This window comes from Homo sapiens, chromosome 6 (genome assembly GCF_000001405.40).
Source record: "Homo sapiens chromosome 6, GRCh38.p14 Primary Assembly".
NCBI lineage: Eukaryota > Metazoa > Chordata > Mammalia > Primates > Hominidae > Homo > Homo sapiens.
The window spans coordinates 29,267,998-29,290,448 of NC_000006.12; the positions used below are offsets into that span (position 1 = coordinate 29,267,998).

The following is a 22,451-nucleotide window of genomic DNA, read 5'->3' on the forward strand; positions in this document are numbered from 1 at the left end:
CAGGCTGGAGATTTGCCTGTGTAAAAATATTCCTGGGACTGGTTGGAGCAAAAGTGTTGTACCTTAAAATAGAGGGCAATGAAAACAGCTTTTAATCTCCTTAAATTAATGACAATATTTAGTTAGCATAATCAAAGGAGACTATTAGAGTTAAATTGGTCAATATCAATATAATTGTAACATATATAATCCAAAAGAAATCAGTGCATAGCATGTTATTTTTAGTGTTGGCACTTTAGTTTATAATTTCATTTTAAATATGAGTTTTGTACATATACCAATCATCATGGATTAAGTATTCAATAAATACATTCGGCTTAATTATAATTTTTATTATAATTTTATTATATTTTTAATGGATATTATCTTTATCTCAGGTGTAGACAATTTATTTACAAAATAAATTGTCTACATTTTAGATTGGGAAGATCAATTGCCATATTAGAAATTGCTGGGAGGAAGAATCAATGTCCTCTTTTTTCCATGCAATCTTTTTCTTTTCCAGTTAGCCTCTTCATGGCCCCCTTGAACTCCTTATTCCTTACCGTATAAATTAATGGGTTCAAGCTGGGAGTAACAATGGAGTAAAATATACTGAGAAGTTTGCCCTCATTCTGATTTGGACTGTTTCCTGGCTGTATATACATGTATGTAACTGTCCCACAGAAGATGGATACCACAACGAGATGGGAGGAACAGGTCCCAAATGCTTTTTGTCTTCCTGCTGCAGACTTGATCTTGAGTACAGCCACAGCAATGAAACCATATGACACAAGAATAAGAAGAAGAGGAACAAGAACTATAATCAGGCACATGGCAAATGTGGTTACCTCCATGGCTGTGGTGTCCACACATGCAATCTTGAATCTTGATCATTGCAGACATTTCACACACACAAAAAAGTGGTCTAGGTGGTGGTTCCTACATCGAGGAAGACTCGTGGCATAGGGGGAAGGTATGATGCAATTAATCACACCAACTACCCAGGAGATGACCACAAGGCCCTGGCAGAGTTGGAGGTTCATTATGGTCATATGATGCAGAGGCTTGCAGATAGCATTGAGTCGATCATATGACATCATGGACAGAAGGATGCATTCAACTGAGTACAGTGCCACATCAATGAAAAGTTGAAAGGCACACCCACCAAAGGTAATTCTTTTGTCTTTGCCCCAGATACTGACCAACATTTGTGGGACTATATTTGTGGTATAACAGAGATCCAAGATGGCCAAATTTCTAAGGAAGAAGTACATGGGGACTTGGAGATGGTCATCTAGGAAAGACAATAGGATGATGGCCATATTTCCCATGAAGGCAATAGTGTAGAAGAAAAAGACAACCCCAGAGATCATCATCTGAAGCTGAGGCTGCCCTGTGAATCCAAGGAGTATAAAACCACTGAAGTGGCTATCATTGATCATTCTGTTTTTTCTTAAGGGAAATCCATGTCATCATTTTGGTAAAGGGCAACGGTGTGATTTTCTTATTTATTTTGCATTGGGTTTGGTGAACTTCTCGGATTTATGGTGGTGTCATTAATTTTGGAAAATTCTCAACCATTATCTCTTAAGATTTTTTTCTGTTTATTTCTTTTTCTTATATTCTGGAGCTCCAAGTACTCATGTGTCAGAGGAGATAATATTATCCTACATAACTTGGATGCTTTTTCTTTTTTCTCTTTGGGTTGAAGTTTGGATAATTTCAATTGACTTGTATTTCAGTTCATGAATTCTTTCCTCTACTGAGTCCAGCCTATTGTTAAGCCCACCAAATTAATTATTTATTTCTTATATTATTTCTGGTATGTTTTTTTTTATATCCAACATTTCCATTTGGTTCTTCTGTACAATGCTAATCTCTTTGTTGAGATCTCCCCTTTGTTCATAAATCTTGTCTGCCTTTACCAGCGAAATGTTAAAACATATTTAAAAAATTCTTATCTGATGATTCTAATGTCTGAACCATGTCTGGATATACTTCACTTGAATATTTCCTCTTTTTAGCTTCAAATGACTCCTGTTTCTTTCTTTTTCTTTTTTCTTTTTCTTTCTTTTTTTTTTTTTTTTTTTTTTTTGAGACGGAGTCTTACTCTGTTACCCAGGCTGGAGTGCCTGGGTGATCTCTGCTCACTGCAACCTCTGCCTCCCAGGTTCAAGTGATTCTCCTGCCCCAGCCTCGCTAGTAGCTGGAATTACAGGCGTGCACTGTTTCTATTTTTCTTGCTTGTTAGTGTGCCTCATAGTGTTTAATTTTTATTTTATGCCAGGCATTGTGTGTCTTGGTCAGCTTGGGCTGCTCTAACAAAATACCACAGGCTGGGTGGAATAAACAACAGACACTTATTTCTCAAAGTTCTGGAGGCTGGGAGGTTTAAGATAAAGGAGTAGGAGGTGCAGTTCCTGATGAGGCCCTACTTCTTGACTTGCAGACGGCTGCCTTTTCACTTGCTGTTCCCTCAAGTGGTAGGGAAAGAGTGTGCTCTTCCTTTTATGGTCCCTCTTCCTTTTATGAGGTCACTAATCCCCTTATGGAGGCCCACCCTCATGACCTGATTTAAACCTAATTACTTTCCAAAGGCCCCATCTCCAAATACCATCACATGGAGGGTTAGGGCTTCAACATATGAATTTTGGGGGTACACAGACATTGAATCCATAGCATTCTGCCTTTTGTCTCCCAAATTAATGTTATTCTTACACACACAAAAAAATTGATCTTATTTCAGTAGCCCCCAAAGTCTTAACTTATTCCAAGATCAACTCTAAAATTGGAAGTCCTGTCTCATCTAAATATCATCTAAATCAGATATAGGTGAGGCTCAAGATACGATTAATCCTGAGGAAAAATTCATCCCCAGTTATAAGTCTGTGAAACCAGATAAATTACACACTTCCAAAATACAATGATAGATTAGACATAGAATAGGCATTCTCATTCCAACACCTGGAAGAAAGAAAGGGGTGGCAGGTTCCAAGCAAATCTAAAATCTTGTAATGCAAATACCATTAGATCTTAAAGCTCAAGGATAATCTTTGGTTTCATAATTTGCCTTCTGGGTCTACTGGGATGACAGTCCCACTTTCTGGACAAACTGGGATAGTAGATAGTCGGACCTCTGTAGCTCTGCAGGGAAGGGGTCATGTCCTCATGACTCTTCATTGTACCCAAAAGGCTCTGGCAGCCACTCTGACACCAACTGCCCATTGAAACTGAGATGATAGCCCCAACCTTTAAATCTGAGGTGGCAGCCCAGATAATCTCTAAAACACCTTTAGGGTCTTTCTTCCCTTGTCTTGAAGAGTAATATCACACATTCACATCTGAATAGCTCTATGGTCCAGTCCCAAAGAATCTAAGAAGTCTGACAGACTTCCTTCATTTTATCCCATTCCCATCTCCTTCAGTTCAGACTGACAGTGTTTCTGCTTATATAATCCCGTAATCTCTTTATCGAGTGAGGGTCCAGCCACACCTTTGGTGGTTTTTTTTTTTTCTCAGCATGCTTTCTCATCTTTTGCAGTGTGGATAGGCTGAGAACTTTCCAATTTTTTAAGTTCCAGCTCCTTTTTTTTTTTTAACAATTCCTTTTTTGATTCATTTATCTCTTTTTTTTTTCTTGCATCTTAGTAGAAGCAGTCAGGATGAACAAAGTGACTCCTTCAACACTTTGATTAGAAATGTCAGCTATGTTCACTGTTAATTTCATCACTTACTAGTTTTACATTCCACAAAACAATAAAACATGAACATAATTCAGCCAAGTTCTTTACCACTTTATAAAAAGAATCACTTTTTCTCAATTGTCCAATAGCTTATTCTTCATTTCTGTCTAAGCCTTCCCCAGAATGACCTTTACCATACATATTTCTGCCAACATTCTGTTTATAATTATTTATGTATTCTATAAGAAAATGGAAGTTTTTCTCCAGCAGTCTTATATTCTGTATAAGCCCTAAACAGAATAGCTATTATTGTGCATATTTATAGCATGCATCCCCAAATTCCTTAACTTCTACCCCTTTTCCAGTTTTAAAGCCACTTCTACATTTTCAGCTACATCCCACTCCTGGTACAAAAATATGTCTTAGCTCAGGATGTTATAACAAAATACCATAGCTTGGGTGGCTTAAACAACAGACATTTATTTCTCATAATTCTGGAAGCTGGAATGTCCAAATTTAAGGTGCCAGAAAATTTAGTTTTTGGTGAAGTCTCTCTTGCTGACAGACCTTTCACTGTATTCTCACATTGTGTAGATAAAACTCTGATCTTTCTTCCTTTTCTTATAAAAACACTAACCCTGACATGGGGGCCCCACTCTCATGACTGCATCTAAACCTAATTTAACTTCCCAAAGACTCTACCTCCAAATATCATCACATTGTGGTAAGTGCTTCAACATATAAATTTGGAGTGACACAAACAGTCCATAACAATTTGTAAAAAATACTTGTAGGGACAGAAATAAATAGTAAGTAGTATTTATCCTCAGGATAGGACATATTCCTTATTTATCAGGGTATGAGTATGGGGAACTCAGACTGTCTGATGTGTAGCTAAGCTTAAACCTGTTGTAAACTTGGTTAAATTCAGTTAACCACTGTCTTCAACTATTTTGAAGGAAGGGTGGGCCTGAATTCTGGTGAGAGTCCAGATAAGTCTTGATGTTTTATAGTGAGGCTACCAGCCTTTTGGACTACGGGAGATTTCTCTTTGCTTTATAGTCTGGCTGCCAGCCTTTTGGGTCAGTGGGGACTTCTATTTGCTTCCCAGTCCTGTCCCTAGCTTTCTGCCCTTTGAGGGCACTCCCAAACTTTGGAAGGACACTTCAGCACACATTATGAAAGCTTGTAGTGCATTGGAGTGAATTATCTTAGCTTTTCTGCTGCACTTGTGGCAAAATACCCATCCAAGTTTGCTCCTGTAGTGTTGAGAATATCTAGATAGTTTCAAGTAAATTACAGTGCTATCAATCCCAAAATAAAAAAAAAATCTTTGTTTTCATGTCAGGTCACCCTATTTCTTTTGTTTGGTGAAATGACCATGATTTGGCTGAAGTTTTTGAAATGATATCTGAGGCAATACCTTTAAAGAGGGTATCAGTTATCATGATTAATCACAACACAACTAGGTAGGATGTTTCTGTCTCCCTGGAGCATGCTGAGAGATGACACTTGTTGTGTGCCCATCAGACTAACACTAACAGTGTGTCAGGAGACAGAAAATAATGATAAAATTTGCCATTTTAAGCTACAAAAATCTTGGGGATTATATTGGAATGGATTGTCATGAAGAGAGAAAACATTTGACTGAACCAAATGTGGATTAAGCCAAATTTATCAACATGAGAGCCCTTAAAAGATATTCTAATTTTATGTGCTGGCTCAAACAGCTGGGAGAAGCTAAGACCATTTCTTCATTGGGTTGATTTAAAAACTCAACTAACCAGGGTGGAGCCAAAATGGCCGAATAGGAACAGCTCCAGTCTACAGCTCCCAGCGTGAGCAACACAGAAGACAGGTGATTTCTGCATTTCCAACTGAGGTACTGGGTTCATCTCACTGGGGAGTGCCGGATAGTGGGTGCAAGACAGTGGGTGCAGTGCACCATGTGTGAGCCGAAGCAGGGCGAGGCATCGCCTCACCTGGGAATCACAAGGGGTCAGGGAATTCCCTTTCCTAGTCAAAGAAAGGGGTGACAGACAGCACCTGGAAAATTGGGTCACTCCCAACCTAATACTGTGCTTTTCCAATGGGCTCAACAAACAGCACATCAGGAGATTATATCCAGCACCTGGCTCGGAGGGTCCTACGCCCAAGGAGCCTTGCTCATTGCTAGCACAGCAGTCTGAGATCAAACTACAAGGCAGCAACAAGGCTGGGGGAGGGCACCCACCATTGCCAAGGCTTGAGTAGGTAAACAAAGCGGCCAGGAAGCTCGAACTGGGTGGAGCCCACCACAGCTCAAGGAGGCCTGCCTGCCTCTGTAGGCTCCACCTCTGGGAGCAGGGCACAGACAAACAAAAGGCAGCAGTAACCTCTGCAGACTTAAATGTCCCTGTCTGACAGCTTTGAAGAGAGTAGTGGTTCTCCCAGCACGCAGCTTGAGAACTGAGAACGGGCAGACTGCCTCCTCAAGTGGGTCCCTGACCCCCAAGTAGCCTAACTGGGAGGCATCCCCCAGTAGGGGCGGACTGACACCTCACACGGCCAGGTACTCCTCTGAGACAAAACTTCCAGAGGAACAATCAGGCAGCAGCATTTGCGGTTCACCAATATCTGCTGTTCTGCAACCACTGCTGCTGATACCCAGGAAAACAGGGTCTGGAGTGGACCTCCAGCAAACTCCAACAGACCTGCAGCTGAGGGTCCTGACTGTTAGAAGGAAAACTAACAAACAGCAAGGACATCCACACCAAAAACCCATCTGTACGTCACCATCATCAAAGACCAAAGGTAGATAAAACCACAAAGATGGGGAAAAAACAGAGCAGAAAAATTGGAAACTCTAAAAATCAGAGCGCCTCTCGTCCTCCAAAGGAATGCGGCTCCTCACCAGCAACGGAACAAAGCTGGAGGGAGAATGACTTTGACAAGTTTAGAGAAGAAGTCTTCAGAGGATCAAACTACTCCTAGCAAAAGGAGGAAGTTTGAACCAATGGCAAAGAAGTTAAAAACCTTGAAAAAAAAAATCAGATGAATGGATAAACAGAATAACCAATGCAGAGAAGTCCTTAAAGGACCTGATGGAGCTGAAAACCATGGCACGAGAACTACGTGATGAATGCACAAGCCTCAGTAGCCGATGCAATCAACTGGAAGAAAGGGTATCAGTTATGGAAGACGAAATGAATGAAATGAAGCGAGAAGAGAAGTTTAGAGAAAAAAGAATAAGAAGAAACGAACAAAGCATCCAAGAAATATGGGACTATGTGAAAAGACCAAATCTATGTCTGATTGGTGCACCTGAAAATGACGGGGATAATGGAACCAAGTTGGAAAACACTCTGCAGGGTATTATCCAGGAGAACTTCCCCAATCTAGCAAGGCAGGCCAACATTCAAATTCAGGAAATACAGAGAATGCCACAAAGATACTCCTCGAGGAGAGCAACTCCAAGACACATGATTGTCAGATTCACCAAAGTTGAAATGAAGGAAAAAATGTTAAGGGCAGCCAGAGAGAAAGGTCAGGTTACCCACAAAGGGAAGCCCATCAGACTAACAGTGGATCTCTCGGCAGAAACTCTACAAGCCAGAAGAGAGTGGGGGCCAATATTCAACATTCTTAAAGTAAAGAATTTTCAACCCAGAATTTCATATCCAGCCAAGCTAAGCTTCATAAGTGAAAGAGAAATAAAATCCTTTACAGACAAGCAAATGCTGAGAGATTTTGTCACCACCAGGCCTGCCCTAAAAGAGCTCCTGTAGGAAGCACTAAACATGGAAAGGAACAACCTGTACCAGCCACTGAAAAAACATGCCAAATTGTAAAGACCTTCAAGGCTAGGAAGAAACTGCATCAACTAACAAGCAAAATAACCAGCTAACATCATAATGACAGGATCAAATTCACACATAACAATATTAACCTTAAATGTAAATGGGCTAAATGCGCCAATTAAAAGACACAGACTGGCAAATTGGATAAAGAGTCAAGACCCGTCAGTATGCTGTATTCAGGAAACCCATCTCACATGCAGAGACACACATAGGCTCAAAATAAAGCGATGGAGGAAGATCTACCAAGCAAATGAAAGACAAAAAAAGGCAGGGGTTGCAATCCTAGTCTCTGAAAAACCAGACTTTAAACCAACAAAGATCAAAAGAGACAAAGAAGGCCATTACATAATGGTAAAGGGATCAATTCAACGAGAAGAGCTAACTATCCTAAATATATATGCACCCAATACAGGAGCACCCAGATTCATAAAGCAAGTCCTTAGAGACCTACAAAGAGACTTAGACTCCCACACAATGATAATGGGAGACTTTAACACCCCACTGTCAACATTAGACAGATCAACGAGACAGAAAGTTAACAAGGATACCTGGGAATTGAACTCAGCTCTGCACCAAGCGGACCTAATAGACATCTACAGAACTCCCCACCCCAAATCAACAGAATATACATTCTTTTTAGCACCACACCACACCTATTCCAAAATTGACCACATAGCTGGAAATAAAGCTCTCCTCAGCAAATGTGAAAGAACAGAAATTATAACAAACTGTCTCTCAGACCACAGTGCCATCAAACTACAACTCAGGATTAAGAAACTCACTCAAAACCACTCAACTACATGGAAACTGAACAACCTGCTCCTGAATGACTACTGGGTACATAATGAAACGAAGGCAGAAATAAAGATATTCTTTGAAACCAACAAGAACAAAGACACAACATACCAGAATCTCTGGGACACATTTAAAGCAGTGTGTAGAGGGAAATTTATAGCACTAAATGCCCACAAGAGAAAGCAGGAAAGATCTAAAACTGACACCAGAACATCACAATTAAAACATCTAGAGAATCAAGAGCAAACACATTCAAAAGCTAGCAGAAGGTAAGAAATAACTAAGATCAGAGCAGAACTGAAGGAAATAGAGACACAAAAAACCCTTCAAAAAATCAATGAATCCAGAAGCTGGTTTTTTGAAAAGATCAACAAAATTCATAGACCACTAGCAAGACTAATAAAGAAGAAAAGAGAGAAGAATCAAATAGACGCAATAAAAAATGATAAAGGGGATATCACCACCAATCCCACAGAAATACAAACTACCATCAGAGAATACTATAAACACCTCTACACAAATAAACTAGAAAATCTAGAAGAAATGGATAAATTCCTCGACACATACACCCTCCCAAGACTAAACCAGGAAGAAGTTGAATCTCTGAATAGACCAATAACAGGCTCTGAAATTGAGGCAATAATTAGCAGCTTACCAACCAAAAAAAGTCCAGGACCAGATGGATTCACAGCCGAATTCTACCAGAAGTACAAAGAGGAGCTGCTACCATTCCTTCTGAAACTATTCCAATCAATAGAAAAAGAGGGAATCCTCCCTAACTCATTTTATGAGGCCAGCATCATCCTGATACCAAAGCCTGGCAGAGACACAACCAAAAAAGAGAATTTTAGACCAATATCCTTGATGAACATTGATGCAAAAATCCTCAATAAAATACTGGCAAACTGAATCCAGCAGCACATCAAAAAGCTTATCCACCATGATCAAGTGGCCTTCATCCCTGGGATGCAAGACTGGTTCAACATATGAAAATCAATAAATGTAATCCAGCATATAAACAGAACCAAAGACAAAAACCACATGATTATCTCAATAGATGCAGAAAAGGCCTTTGACAAAATTCAACAACACTTCATGCTAAAAACTCTCAATAAATTAGGTATTGATGGGACATATCTTAAAATAATAAGAGCTATCTATGACAAACCCACAGCCAATATTATACTGAATGGACAAAACTGGAAGCATTCCCTTTGAAAACTGGCAAAAGACAGGGATGCCCTCTCTCACCATTCCTATTCAACATAGAGTTGGAAGTTCTGGCCAGGGCAATCAGGCAGGAGAAGGAAATAAAGGGCATTCAATTAGGAAAAGAGGAAGTCAAATTGTCCCTGTTTGCAGATGACATGATTGTATATCTAGAAAACCCCATCGTCTCAGCCCAAAATCTCCTTAAGCTGATAAGGAACTTCAGCAAAGTCTCAGGATACAAAATCAGTGTGCAAAAATCACAAGCATTCCTATACACCAATAACAGACAAACAGAGAGCCAAATCATGAGTGAACTCCCATTCACAATTGCTTCAAAGAGAATCAAATACCTAGGAATCCAACTTACAAGGGATGTGAAGGACCTCTTCAAGGAGAACTACAAACCACTGCTCAATGAAATAATAGAGGATACAAACAAATGGAAGAACATTACCTGCTCATGTGTAGGAAGAATCAATATCGTGAAAATGGCCATACTGCCCAAGGTAATTTATAGATTCAATGCCTTGCCCATCAAGCTACCAATGACTTTCTTCACAGAGTTGGAAAAAACTACTTTAAAGTTCATATGGAACCAAAAAAGAGCCTGCATTTCCAAGTCAATCCTAAGCCAAATGAACAAAGCTGGAGGCATCATGCTACCTGACTGCAAACTATACTACAAGGCTACAGTAACCAAAACAGCATGGTACTGGTACCAAAACAGAGATATAGAACAGTGGAACAGAACAGAGCCCTCAGAAATAATGCCACATATCTACCAGTATCTGATCTTTGAAAAACCTGACAAAAACAAGCAATGGGGAAAGGATTCTCTATTTAATAAATGGTGCTGGGAAAACTGGCTAGCCATATGTAGAAAGCTGAAACTGGATCCCCTCCTTACACCTTATACAAAAATTAATTCAAGATGGATTAAAGACTTCAATGTTAGACCTAAAACCAGAAAAACCCTAGAATAAAACCTAGGCAATACCATTCAGGACATAGGCATGGGCAAGGACTTCATGTCTAAAACACCAAAAGCAATGGCAACAAAAGCCAAAATTGACAAATGGGATCTAATTAAACTAAAGAACTTCTGCACAACAAAAGAAACTACCATCAGAGTGAATAGGCAACCTACAGAATGGGAGAAAATTTTTGCAACCTACCCATCTGACAAAGGGCTAATATCCAGAATCTACAGTGAACTCCAACAAATTTACAAGAAAAAAACAAACAACCCCATCAAAAAGTGGGTGAAGGATATGAACAGACATTTTTCAAAAGAAGACATTTATGCAGCCAAAAAACACATGAAAAAATGCTCATCATCACTGGCCATCAGAGAAATGCAAATCAAAACCACAATGAGATACCATCTCACACCAGTTAGAATGGTGATCATTAAAAAGTCAGGAAACAACAGGTGCTGGACAGGATGTGGAGAAATAGGAACACTTTTACACTGTTGGTGGGACTGTAAACTAATTTAACCATTGTGGAAGTCAGTGTGGCGATTCCTCAGGGATCTAGAACTAGAAATACCATTTGACCCAGCCATCCCATTGCTGGGTATATACCCAAAGGATTATAAATCATGCTGCTAGAAAGACACACACACACATATGTTTATTGCGGCACTATTCACAATAGCAAAGACTTGGAACCAACCCAAATGTCCAACAATGATAGGCTGGATTAAGAAAATGTGGCACATATACACCATGGAATACTATGCAGCCATAAAAAATGATGAGTTCATGTCCTTTGTAGAGTCATGGATGAAGCTGGAAACCATCATTCTCAGCAAACTATCACAAGGACAAAAAACCAAACACCGCATGTTCTCACTCATAGGTGGGAATTGAACAATGAGAACACGTGGTGACAGGAAGGGGAACATCACACACGGGGGACTGTTGTGGGGTGTGGTGAGGGGGCAGGGATAGCATTAGGAGATATACCTATTGCTAAATGATTAGTTAATGGGTGCAGCACACCAACATGGCACATGTAGACATATGTAACAAACCTGCACGTTGTGCACATGTACTCTAAAACTTAAAGTATAATAATAATAAAATTTTAAAAAAGTAATGTTCAAGTTTATTTGGGTATGAAATTCTAATACCATCCAGAGAGAGTTCATGCTGCTTCAAAATAATTTTAAGTGTAATTCTACAAATAAAGAAACCATTTATATCAATAAAAAAAATAAAACCATAAAATTTTAAAAATAAAGAGATGAATATTGAAGATAATCTGATTAGGTAAGATGTTGGTTTATTTCATTTCATACTCTAAGCACATTTTTTTCATAATGGAATTATGCTCTACATGCCCTCCTCAGGAAACTTCCCAGGAAGGTCATCATAATGCTGTTGTTTTGTGCTCATTATTGTTACAAATTCAAAAAATGTAAAAAATATGACAAGAAATATACCCAATAAAGATATTTATGGTGCAAACACATCCCTCTTCCACTCCTTACTCCATCTCACTATTTGCCATTTTTCACTTTTCTGAAGATATTCTTTACACATATTAGTGTATGTGGGGTAGTTGTGTATGTGTTCATGTGTTTTAATAGATACATTTATTTATATATGCATATTGATAGGTTAGTAGAGAGATAACATCCTGTGTCATCTTATAAATACCATCTTGTAACTTTTTTCTCCTTAAATATATCAATTCTCTAACTACAGACTTGCCTCGCTATTTTTAATAAATGCAAAATATTACATTATGAAGATGTGTTTAACAACTTCAGGACTGGTAGTCATTTATGAGATGTGTAGCTTTTTGCTAATGCAAACAACACTGCAACAAAGGTCTTTGTACACCCACTTCTGAATGAATATGTGCAAATTTGTGTCAAGTGAATACTTTTATGTATCAAATACATCAATAATTTAAGGCCTTTAAGTGATCTTAGGTCTTTTGCCTAATATTTCTACATTTAAATTTTTATTGTTTTGAAATTAAAGATAGGAATTTATTTATTTTTTTCCTGATTTTAAATCAGTTAGCACACACACACTCCATTGAAACGTTCTGCCTTTACGTAATGATATGAAATTACTCCTTCATGATAAAGTAAATCTCCATACACATTTGGGTTCATTTCTGAAGCCTGATATGAAATGCTTTCAAAAACCTTGCTTCGTATTATTTATTTGAGAGCAAGTTAATTTAGTGGTTTTGATAAGTATACTTTTTAAAATAAAGAAATGCAAAGTCTGGTATTTAAGCTTATCTGTCCAAGAAGACGATTAAGTATTTATACACAGTCTTAGCATTTTCATGTCTATTATTTTTCCTACTATTCCAGAAAGATTGTAACAGAAAAAAAAGGCTAATATAATGGAGATAGTGGGCCAGAATATATGTTGAATTACAATTTCAACCTTCACTCTGAGGGGCCTAGATTAGTTATGCTCAATAACTTGGAGGAGGAAAAACTAGATCAAATTTGGAAGCATTGGTTTGTGTTCCTAGTCTACCTGTCTGTAATCTTGAGAAACTTTGATTTTCTCAGTTTTGGAATTGTCATCAGCTAAATATGAATAATGAAAATGTATTTTCCTAATTTATATAGTGACAATGTTATCCAATGAATCAATATGTCTTATGTTTGTGAAGTATCTTATACAATACATTAAGTGAGAATGAGGAAACACTATAGGAAGAAATAGGAAAAAAAAATCATATTTTAAACTTACATTATTTTAACGAGTGCATGAAGTTGTCATATCTTTATCAGAATAATAAGTACATGTGAAGGAAAAATTTACCTATTTCATAATCCATATTTAAAAAATCACCTTGACATTGGCTCTGTTTAAGTGACGGATTACGTTTATTGATTTGTGTATGTTGAACCAGCCTTTCATCCCAGGGATGAAGTCGATTTGATTATGGTGGATAAGCTTTTTGATGTGCTGCTGGATTCGGTTTGCCAGTATTTTATTGAGGATTTTCACATCGATGTCATCAGGGATATTGGCCTGAAATTTTCTTTTTTTGTTGTGTCTCTGCCAGGTTTTGGTATCAGGATGATGCTGGCCTCACAAAATGAGTTAGGGAAGATTCCGACTTTTTCTATTGTTTGGAATAGTTTCAGAAGGAATAGTACCAGCTCCTCTTTGTACCTCTGGTAGAATTCGGCTGTGAATCTGTCTGATCCTGGGCTTCTTTTTTGGTTGGTAGGCTATTAATTACTGCCTGAATTTCAGAACTTGTTATTGGTCTATTCAGGGATTAGATTTCTTCCTGGTTTAGTCTTGGGAGGATGTATGTGTCCAGGAATTTATCCATTTCTTCTAAATTTTCTAGTTTATTTGCATAGAGTTATTTATAGTATCCTCTGATGGTAGTTTGTATTTCTGTAAGATCAGTGGTGATATCCCCCTTATCATTTTTTGTCGTGTCTATTTGATTCTTCTCTGTTTTCTTCTTTATTAGTCCAGTTAGTGGTCTATTTTGTTAAGCTTTTCAAAAAACCAGCTCCTGGATTCATTGATTTTTTGAACGGTTTCTTGTGTCTCTATCTCCTTCATCTCTGCTCTGATCTGTTATTTCTTGTCTTCTGCTAGCTTTTGAATTTGTTTGATCTTTCTTCTCTAGTTCTTTTAATTGTGATGTCAGGTTGTTTATTTTAAAGGCCTTCAATAAAATTCAACACCTCTTCATGCTAAAAACTCTCAATAAACTAGGTATTGACGGAACGTGTCTCAAAATAATAAGAGCTATTTATGACAAACCCAAAGCTAATATCATACTGAATGGGCAAAAGCTGGAAGCAGTCTCTTTGAAAACCAGCACAAGACAAGAATGCCCTCTCTCACCACTCCTATTCAACATAGTATTGGAAGTTCTGGTCAGGGCAATCAGGCAAGAGAAAGAAATAAAGTGTATTCAAATAGGAAGGCAGGAAGTCAAATTGTCTCTGTTTGCAGATGACATGATTGTATATTTAGAAAACCCCATCGTCTCAGACCTAAATCTCCTTAAGCTGAAAAGCAACTTCAGCAAAGTCTTAGGATACAAAATCAATTTGCAAAAATCACAAGCATTCCTATACACCAATAATAGACAAACAGCCAAATCATGAGTAAACTCCCATTCACAATTGTTACAAAGAGAATAAAATACCTAGGAATACAACTTACAAGGAATGTGAAGGACCTCTTCAAGGAGAACTCCAAACCACGGCTCAAGGAAATAAGAGAGGACACAAACAAATGAAAAAACATTCCATGCTCATGGATGGGAATAATCAATATCGTGAAAATGGACATACTGCCTGAAGTAATTTAGAGATTCAATGCTATCCCCATCAAGTTACTATTGACTTTCTTCACAGAATTAGAAAAAAACTACTTTAAATTTCATATGAAACCAAAAAAGAGCCCGTATAGCCAAGACAATCATAAGCAAAAATAACAAAGCTGGAGGCATCATGTTACCTGACTTCAAACTATACTACAAGGATACAGTAACCAAAACAGCATGGTACTGATACCAAAACAGATATATAGACCAATAGAACAGAACAGAGGCCTCAGAAATAATGCCACACATCTACAACCATCAGATCTTTGACAAACCTGACAAAAACAAGCAATGGGGAAGGGATTTCATATTTAATAAATGGTTTTGGGAAAACTGGCTAGCCATATGCAGAAAACGGAAACTGGACCCCTTCCTTACACCTTATAAAAAAATTAACTCAAGATGGATTAAGATTTAAATGTAAGACCCAATATCATAAAAACTCTAGAAGATAACATAGACAATACCATTCATGACATAGGCATGGTCAAAGACATCATGACTAAAACACCAAAAGCAATGGCAACAAAAGCCAAAATAGACAAATAGGATCTAATTAAACTAAAGAGCTTCTGCACAACAAAAGAAACTATCATCAGAGTGAACAGTTAACCTACGGAATGGAAGAAAATTTTTGCAATCTATCCATCTGACAAAGGACTAATATCCAGAATCTACAAATAACTTAAACAAATTTACAAGAAAAAAAACAACCCCATCAAAAAGTGGGTGAAGAATATGAACAGACACCTCTCAAAAGAAGGCATGAAGGCATTTATGTGGTCAACAAACATATGAAATGAAGCTCATCATCATTGGTCATTAGAGAAATGCAAATCAAAACTACAATGAGATACCATCTCATGCCAGTTAGAATGGTGATCATTAAAAAGTCAGGAAACAAGAGAGGCTGGAGAGGATGTGGAGAAATAGGAATGCTTTTACACTGTTGGTGGGTATGTAAATTAGTTCAACCATTGTGGAAGACAGTGTGGTGATTTCTGAAGGATCTAGAACCAGAAATACCATTTGACCTAGAAATCCCATTACTGGATATATACCCAAAGGATTATAAAACATTCCACTATAAAGACACACGCACATATATGTTTATTGCAGCACTATTTACAATAGCAAAGACTTGGAACCCAAATGCCCATCAGTGATAGACTGGATAAGGAAAATGTGGCACATATACACCATGGGATACTATGCTGCCATAAAAAAGAATGAGTTTATGTTCTTTGCAGGGACATGGATTATGCTGGAAGCCATGAGTCTCATTAACTAACACAGGAACAGCAAACCAAACACTCCTTATTCTCACTCATAAATGGGAGTTGAACAATGAGAACACATGGACACAGTGAGGGGAACATCATACATTGGGGCCTGTTAGAGGGTGGGGTGCATTAGGAGAAACACCTAATGTAGATGACGGGTTGATGGGTGCAGCAAACCACCATGGCATGTGTGTACCTATGTAACAAACCTGCATGTTCTGCACATGTATCCCAGAACTTAAAGTATAATGAAAAAAATCATCTTGGCAACCATGAGATTTAGTCTTGCTTGAATTAATTTTCTTTCTTCTTAGATGACTCTCCAAACTTACATGCCCAAAGTTTGTATTTTGTTAGAAACATTTTCTTGATTTCTTCTGTGGCATACTCATTTTCTAGTCCCTCTGGTTATTTTTCCCTGGACATGTTGGCAGCAGTAGAGGCTAATTATTTTGAATCTCGGAGGCTTAAACGGAAGTATGAGAGTGAGGCAGTAATGGCATGAAAGCTCCCTGAAGAGCTATGTATTCTATGGATGGCCATCAGTTGGAGTTGGTTTCTTGAGGTTGACCCTTCAGTAGGTCAGAGAGAGCTGGGTTGATGTTAAAGAGGGCTGAGAAGAAATTCAAACAACAAACTGGTTTGAGGATCATGTTTGGGCCCCAGGTCAGTCTTCCAGGACTCCGTATCTCCATGTCACATTCCAGACAAACTGATGGATTACAACCCAGCATCAGGTAAATGTTGAAGGGATTTGGAGAGGGAATATTAATTAAAGTTGTCATCACTTCGTGGAGTAGGCTGAAGGGAGCACTCAGGAGTAGAACTATAAAATAAAAATTTTTTAAAATGTAAAAAGGTTTATTCTACAAGCCACATACATTTTTGTTTGAGAGAACAATAAGCTTATGAAAAGTATACTGATGTAGGATTCAAAATATTGTATTATTCAAATCTTTTCTTCTGAATTTACTAGATCTATAAACTTGAGCAAGTCCTACAACCTCTTGGTGCCTGCGTTTCCTCTCTTCTGTTATATAAAAAAATCGTTCTTTAGAGGCATATTATAAGAAGAAAACAAACATACTTGTATGAAAGCAATTATATACTTAAAATTTAAGTTTATGGATAGAAAATTTGATATGAACTATCTGGTGTTTGCCAATCTTTGTTAAACACTATTCTATTATTAGGAGACTGATGGAAAAATATGTGTTACCAATCATGTTATTTACCTTTGAAACTTTATATTTTCATTTAAGTATTTTTAGGTGTACCTTTTTTTAACCACTTTTCTAGACTGAAACTGCTATTTCCATTACAAAGATTGTAGCTATTAAGATGTTGATTTTTGAGAAAATTTAGCTCTGAAAGGCCTACCACTCAGATAATCAAAGGTTGTTTAAATCCATTAGCTGGGTGTGGTGGTGCACACCTGTAATTCCAGCTGCTCTGGAGGCTGAGACAGGAGAATCGTGTGAACCTGGGAAGCGGAGGTTGCAGTGAGCTGAGATCACATCACTGCACTCCAGCCTGGGTGGCAGAACAGAAACAAAAACAAAAACAAACAACAACAAAAAGTTGTTTAAATCTATGACAATTTAGAACAAGGGAATCTGATAGCATGGAATTAAAACTATAGCAAAAGTTCTTACAAAGTAACATGAAGAGGAAGTATATAAAATAAGTCAGGTAGAATGAAAATCTAAATATTGTTTCAGTTTTGTTTATTAACATATTATATTAGAGCCATGCTTAGAAAGTTAATGAAGAGTGTATTAGGATGTAAACGTTTAAAATAATGGGCTTCATGTGTTCTTAAACCATGTGGTCAGATACTTCTACTCTGCTCACCCTTCGTTTTTTTGTGCACTCCATTTGCCAGAGATCTATAGATTCTTCTGTCTCCCAGCTCCAGTTTTTCACCCTCAAGGGGATTATCAGCCTGTTTTTAACTTTTGATTTAGGCGAATTCCGTATTATTCTTATACAGTCAGAAAGGCAAGAACTCCCTGCATCCTTTCTAGACATTTAAACTGAATTACTGAATTTAGTCTTAGATCTTTCATTTTTATTTTCTATTTTTCTTCCATTTCTTTTTATATTCATATATTTGACAGCTACTTATGTGACTATTACTATGTATCAGACAAAAATTTACCATCTTTATGTACTTCTTTTTTCTGTCTTATTTTTTTCTTTCCATTTTTCTTCTCTCTTTACTTTCTGAGTTTATCTGCTGCTATTATTTCCTTGTTACTCATTTTACCTCTATTTCCTATAAATTTTCAATATTTAAGCACAAATGAAGTATATGGAAAACCAGGGGAACAGGCTACATATACTTCTTTAATAACTTTACTGTTTTCCTCGGGTAAAGTATATAATTAATTTTATTCATAACTTTCCAAACTTACCCCAGAAACTTAATAGTACTTAATAGAACTTAATAGAAACAAATAGCTGTGCCTACTGGAAGAGAAGCAGTAGAAAAATATAAAGATTGTGAAAATGTTATTACTAATTTTGAAATGTAGGAAAAGAAACACAGCTTTCTTCAGATTTAGAACATTATCTGAGTTCTAACTAAATGAGATTCTGAAAGAGACTCTAGCAAGAAAACAATCCAGACAGAATGAAGGTAGCATTCCAAAATTGTCTTTTTAGGATTTTAATTGGACAAGGAATTACTTGAATACTGATTAAGAAGTATTCTTCTATAAGAAATCCTACAACACAGAAGAAGTCTTCCTTTGACCATAATAGATAAGGCAAAATTTGATTCAGAAATATATATGTAAAGATAAAATTGTTTCTCAGTATTGAATCAAAATATATTCATATAATAATCTTCTAATCAACTGGCAGAGATATGTGTTCCATTTCTTTGGGGATACAATACAAAATGTAATCATATATATATATATATATATATTATATATATATATATATTATTTTTTTTTTTTGAGACGGAGTCTCACTGTCTCCCAGGCTGGAGTGCAGTGGTGCGATCTCGGCTCATGGCAAGCTCCGCCCCCTCCGGGTTCACGCCATTCTGCTGCCTCAGCCTCCCGAGTAGCTGGGACTACAGGTGGCTGCCACCACACCCGGCTAATTTTTTTTTTTATTTTGAGTAGAGACGGGGTTTCACCTTGTTCGCCAGGATGGTCTCGATCTCCTGACCTCATGATCCGCCCGCCTCGGCCTCCCAAAGTGCTGGGATTGCAGGCGTGAGCCACCCCGCCCGGCCGTAATCATATTTTTAAGGCTCTATTCCTAAAGACTCACTGTCCCAGGTGAGAAATGGGAGAAGAAAGGAATTGGATAGCACCAGTTTGAATGAAGAGTGGCATTATAGAGATACAAAATGACAAGGTTTAAAAAAGGAGACGTCCCAGAAGTTTCTAGAATCACTTCTATGTAATTTTACCATGTGAGTAGTCCTACTAATATTGCAGCTACTGCTTTTGTATTATATGTGGTCTTTTATAAGTTTTTTTTTAATTTACAAAGGAAATATACATTTAATTGTCATTAAAGTACTATGGAGTTTATATGCAAGTATTTTAATTCTCTTGATCTGGTTGAACAAACCAGGTCACAAGGGTATGAAGTGACATATTTAAAGTCCATGCATTTTTAGTAAGTAAAATAAATGTATTTATTGGTTAATTAGTTACATCAATTTGAGAATTAGCAATAAAACCCTAAAACTGCCAATGGGGCATATTTTAACTCTGCTTTGACCTCTTGGGCTCTGAATTAGTAAATGATGTATATGGGTTTGGTTGTGATGAAATATCAGTGAAACTGATTGAGGTCATAGGTGAAAAATAATGATATCAAAATGCTAATGTAATCTAGGAATAACATATCAGAGCACCAAAGGAAAAAGCTTCATGATTGCTGGTTTCAACTAAATTCAAATTGATTAACATGTAGTAAATATCTATTATATTTAACATATACTCTTATGTCTAAAAGTCACGTGCTGACTCTTTTCAAAGAGTATGTAATCGATATAGTCAGGAAAACATATCGAGTACAAAAAAGACAGAAAAAAATCTCTATCTCTCCCATATATAGATATATATCTATATATGAGTATATATGTATATCATGAAAAAATTATCAAATCATATATACATGATATATATATATCATGTATATATGTCATATTTATAAATGAGTATATCATCAAGAAATTACAAATAAAATGCTCTGGACGACCAGTAAGAAAGGAGAGCAGGAAATACTTAAGGACATTTTTATATTTGAGATGATCCTTACAGGATACATAACAACAATGGCATTTCACATCAGCATAAATACAAGGGGTCAAGGGGGAAGGTCACAAGTTTGGTTGGATCAGTGAATATGTCTGCATGGTTCAAGCGATTGTTATATGAGGCCTGAGTCCAAGGTTGCATTTTAATATAATGTGTCAGAATATGGAGAGCCACTGAATAATTTTGAATTGAAATGTACATGGCCACATTTTAACGATGAAAAGACTGTTCTCCAAACCAGCTAGGTTGTTTTGAAGATGAGAGAACAATTGTAAGTAAGAATACCAGTTTGAAAGCTAGAGATCATGGGACACTGAACTATTTTCTGTATGTCTGCCTTAATGTTTTTAGATAGATACAGATTTAATAGATAGATTTGAGAGACAATGGTGAAGAAGAAATTACTCCAGCTGACATCTTACGTGACATGTATGCAATTATAATTCAAAGAGAATGATGACCTCTGCATACCAAAAGAATTGTTATTCTATAAGCAAATGAAGAAATTAGAAGTGTTAATGGATGGATACTAAAATCAGTTTTGAATTTAGTGATTCTTATGTTTAGCTGTGAAGCAAGTTTTTATCCCTATCATTTCTCACTGTCACTCATTTCATTCACACGGATACCGTAACTCAGATGACACGATTTGAAATATAGAGCTGGCCAACTAAGTACATGAACCCTACTAAGTCAGGATCACAAGAAGAATATGACATAGGGCAACTGAGAGGATCAGAAAAGTAAATAGAGGATCCTGAGCTGATTTCAGAGCAGTCACATTTTGTTTACTATCCTCTAATAAATATTTGTTTATTGTTACAAATATCATTATAAACTGCATAAATGCATAAAAATAAAACAACTGTAATACATCTGGGGATTCATAATTAGGTAAGTATATAATAATTGTTAATAGTCATTGAATTATTAGTATATGACAAGAACTGAGCTATGTTTGCAATGTACACTCTATTCCTTAATTTGTACACTAGTTCTATGAGATGGGTATAATTATGCTTATTTGAAAGATGAGAAAATTGAAGCACACAAAGATTAAATGACATCTCCAAAGTCACACAGCTAATGAATGGAATGACTGGGATTTGGAGGAAATCCCAGTCTTTTATAAATGTCTTTTATAAAACAACTAGAGAAAAACACAAGACAAATTTACTAAAAGATAAGAGTCAAACAAAAAAAGAAATTTGGGATTGTAGGGAATGGAAAAATTTGCAATTGGAGTTATTCTTTAGAAATTATATGATAAAGGAATTGTGTAATTTGGATGGGCAAAGAGCAGGATAGAGGCAATTTTGGTGGAAAAAATAGTATCAGTAATTAGAAAATATGAGAATAAAGAAGGGAGAGAGAGGGAAAATGATTAAGTTTATATGTGCTGAGAATGATGCTGAGAGATTACAAATTCATATACATCCTCAAATTTCAAGGATTCACATATTTAAAACTCTTTCTGGTGATTTCTTCCAGAGATTAAAATTTCATCAAATGTATCCAGATATTTTTAAAGTTGCATTTTCACAGCAAACAAATTTCTAAGGACTGATTGTCTTTTTGTGTGTGTAATTTTGTTTGTTTTTTTGGCTTTTTTCTCCCTATTTTTAAATGTTCTGAGTAGGACTAGCATTAAAGCTTGGAAGGGGTAAAACGAGTCATGGCACTCCATCCTTTTATCATGCAGACTTTATAAAGTGCTCCAGTTCTTATGGTGTTTTCTGACCAGGATCTGTACCAAGCAGATGAACGTGCCAAGATGTCTTCGTTCTCCCTGGCTGCACATCCTCCTGTAGTCTTCATGCCGGCCTTCGTTTGACCTGTTTTTGGGAAGTTCTGCCTTTTCCTTCTATTTTAATCTACACTCTGTTGCCACCATTACATATCCATGCATGTAGAGTTGATGGTAGTATACTAAAACTTTTTAGAAGAGAAGATATGAAAACCCAAATGGAGTGAATAGCTAACCAGAAGACATATATTAAATAAGCAAAATTCCCAACTATGTTG

General features: G+C 36.9%; 2 long non-coding RNA genes and 1 pseudogene across 2 annotated transcripts in view; 1 reads left to right on the top strand and 2 right to left on the bottom strand.

The window, feature by feature from the left end:
* Positions 1 to 22,443, top strand: part of LINC03003 (long intergenic non-protein coding RNA 3003) — a 66,468-nt gene extending 44,025 nt beyond the window's left edge. The window contains exon 2 of the long non-coding RNA NR_134630.1: positions 22,129 to 22,443. This is a non-coding gene — a long non-coding RNA (long intergenic non-protein coding RNA 3003). The remainder of the gene's footprint in view (positions 1 to 22,128) is intronic.
* Positions 468 to 1,424, bottom strand: OR2U2P (olfactory receptor family 2 subfamily U member 2 pseudogene; annotated as a pseudogene).
* LOC105375005 (uncharacterized) overlaps positions 16,075 to 22,451 on the bottom strand; it is a 50,372-nt gene continuing 43,995 nt past the window's right edge. The window contains exon 3 of the long non-coding RNA XR_926670.1: positions 16,075 to 16,963. This is a non-coding gene — a long non-coding RNA (uncharacterized LOC105375005). The remainder of the gene's footprint in view (positions 16,964 to 22,451) is intronic.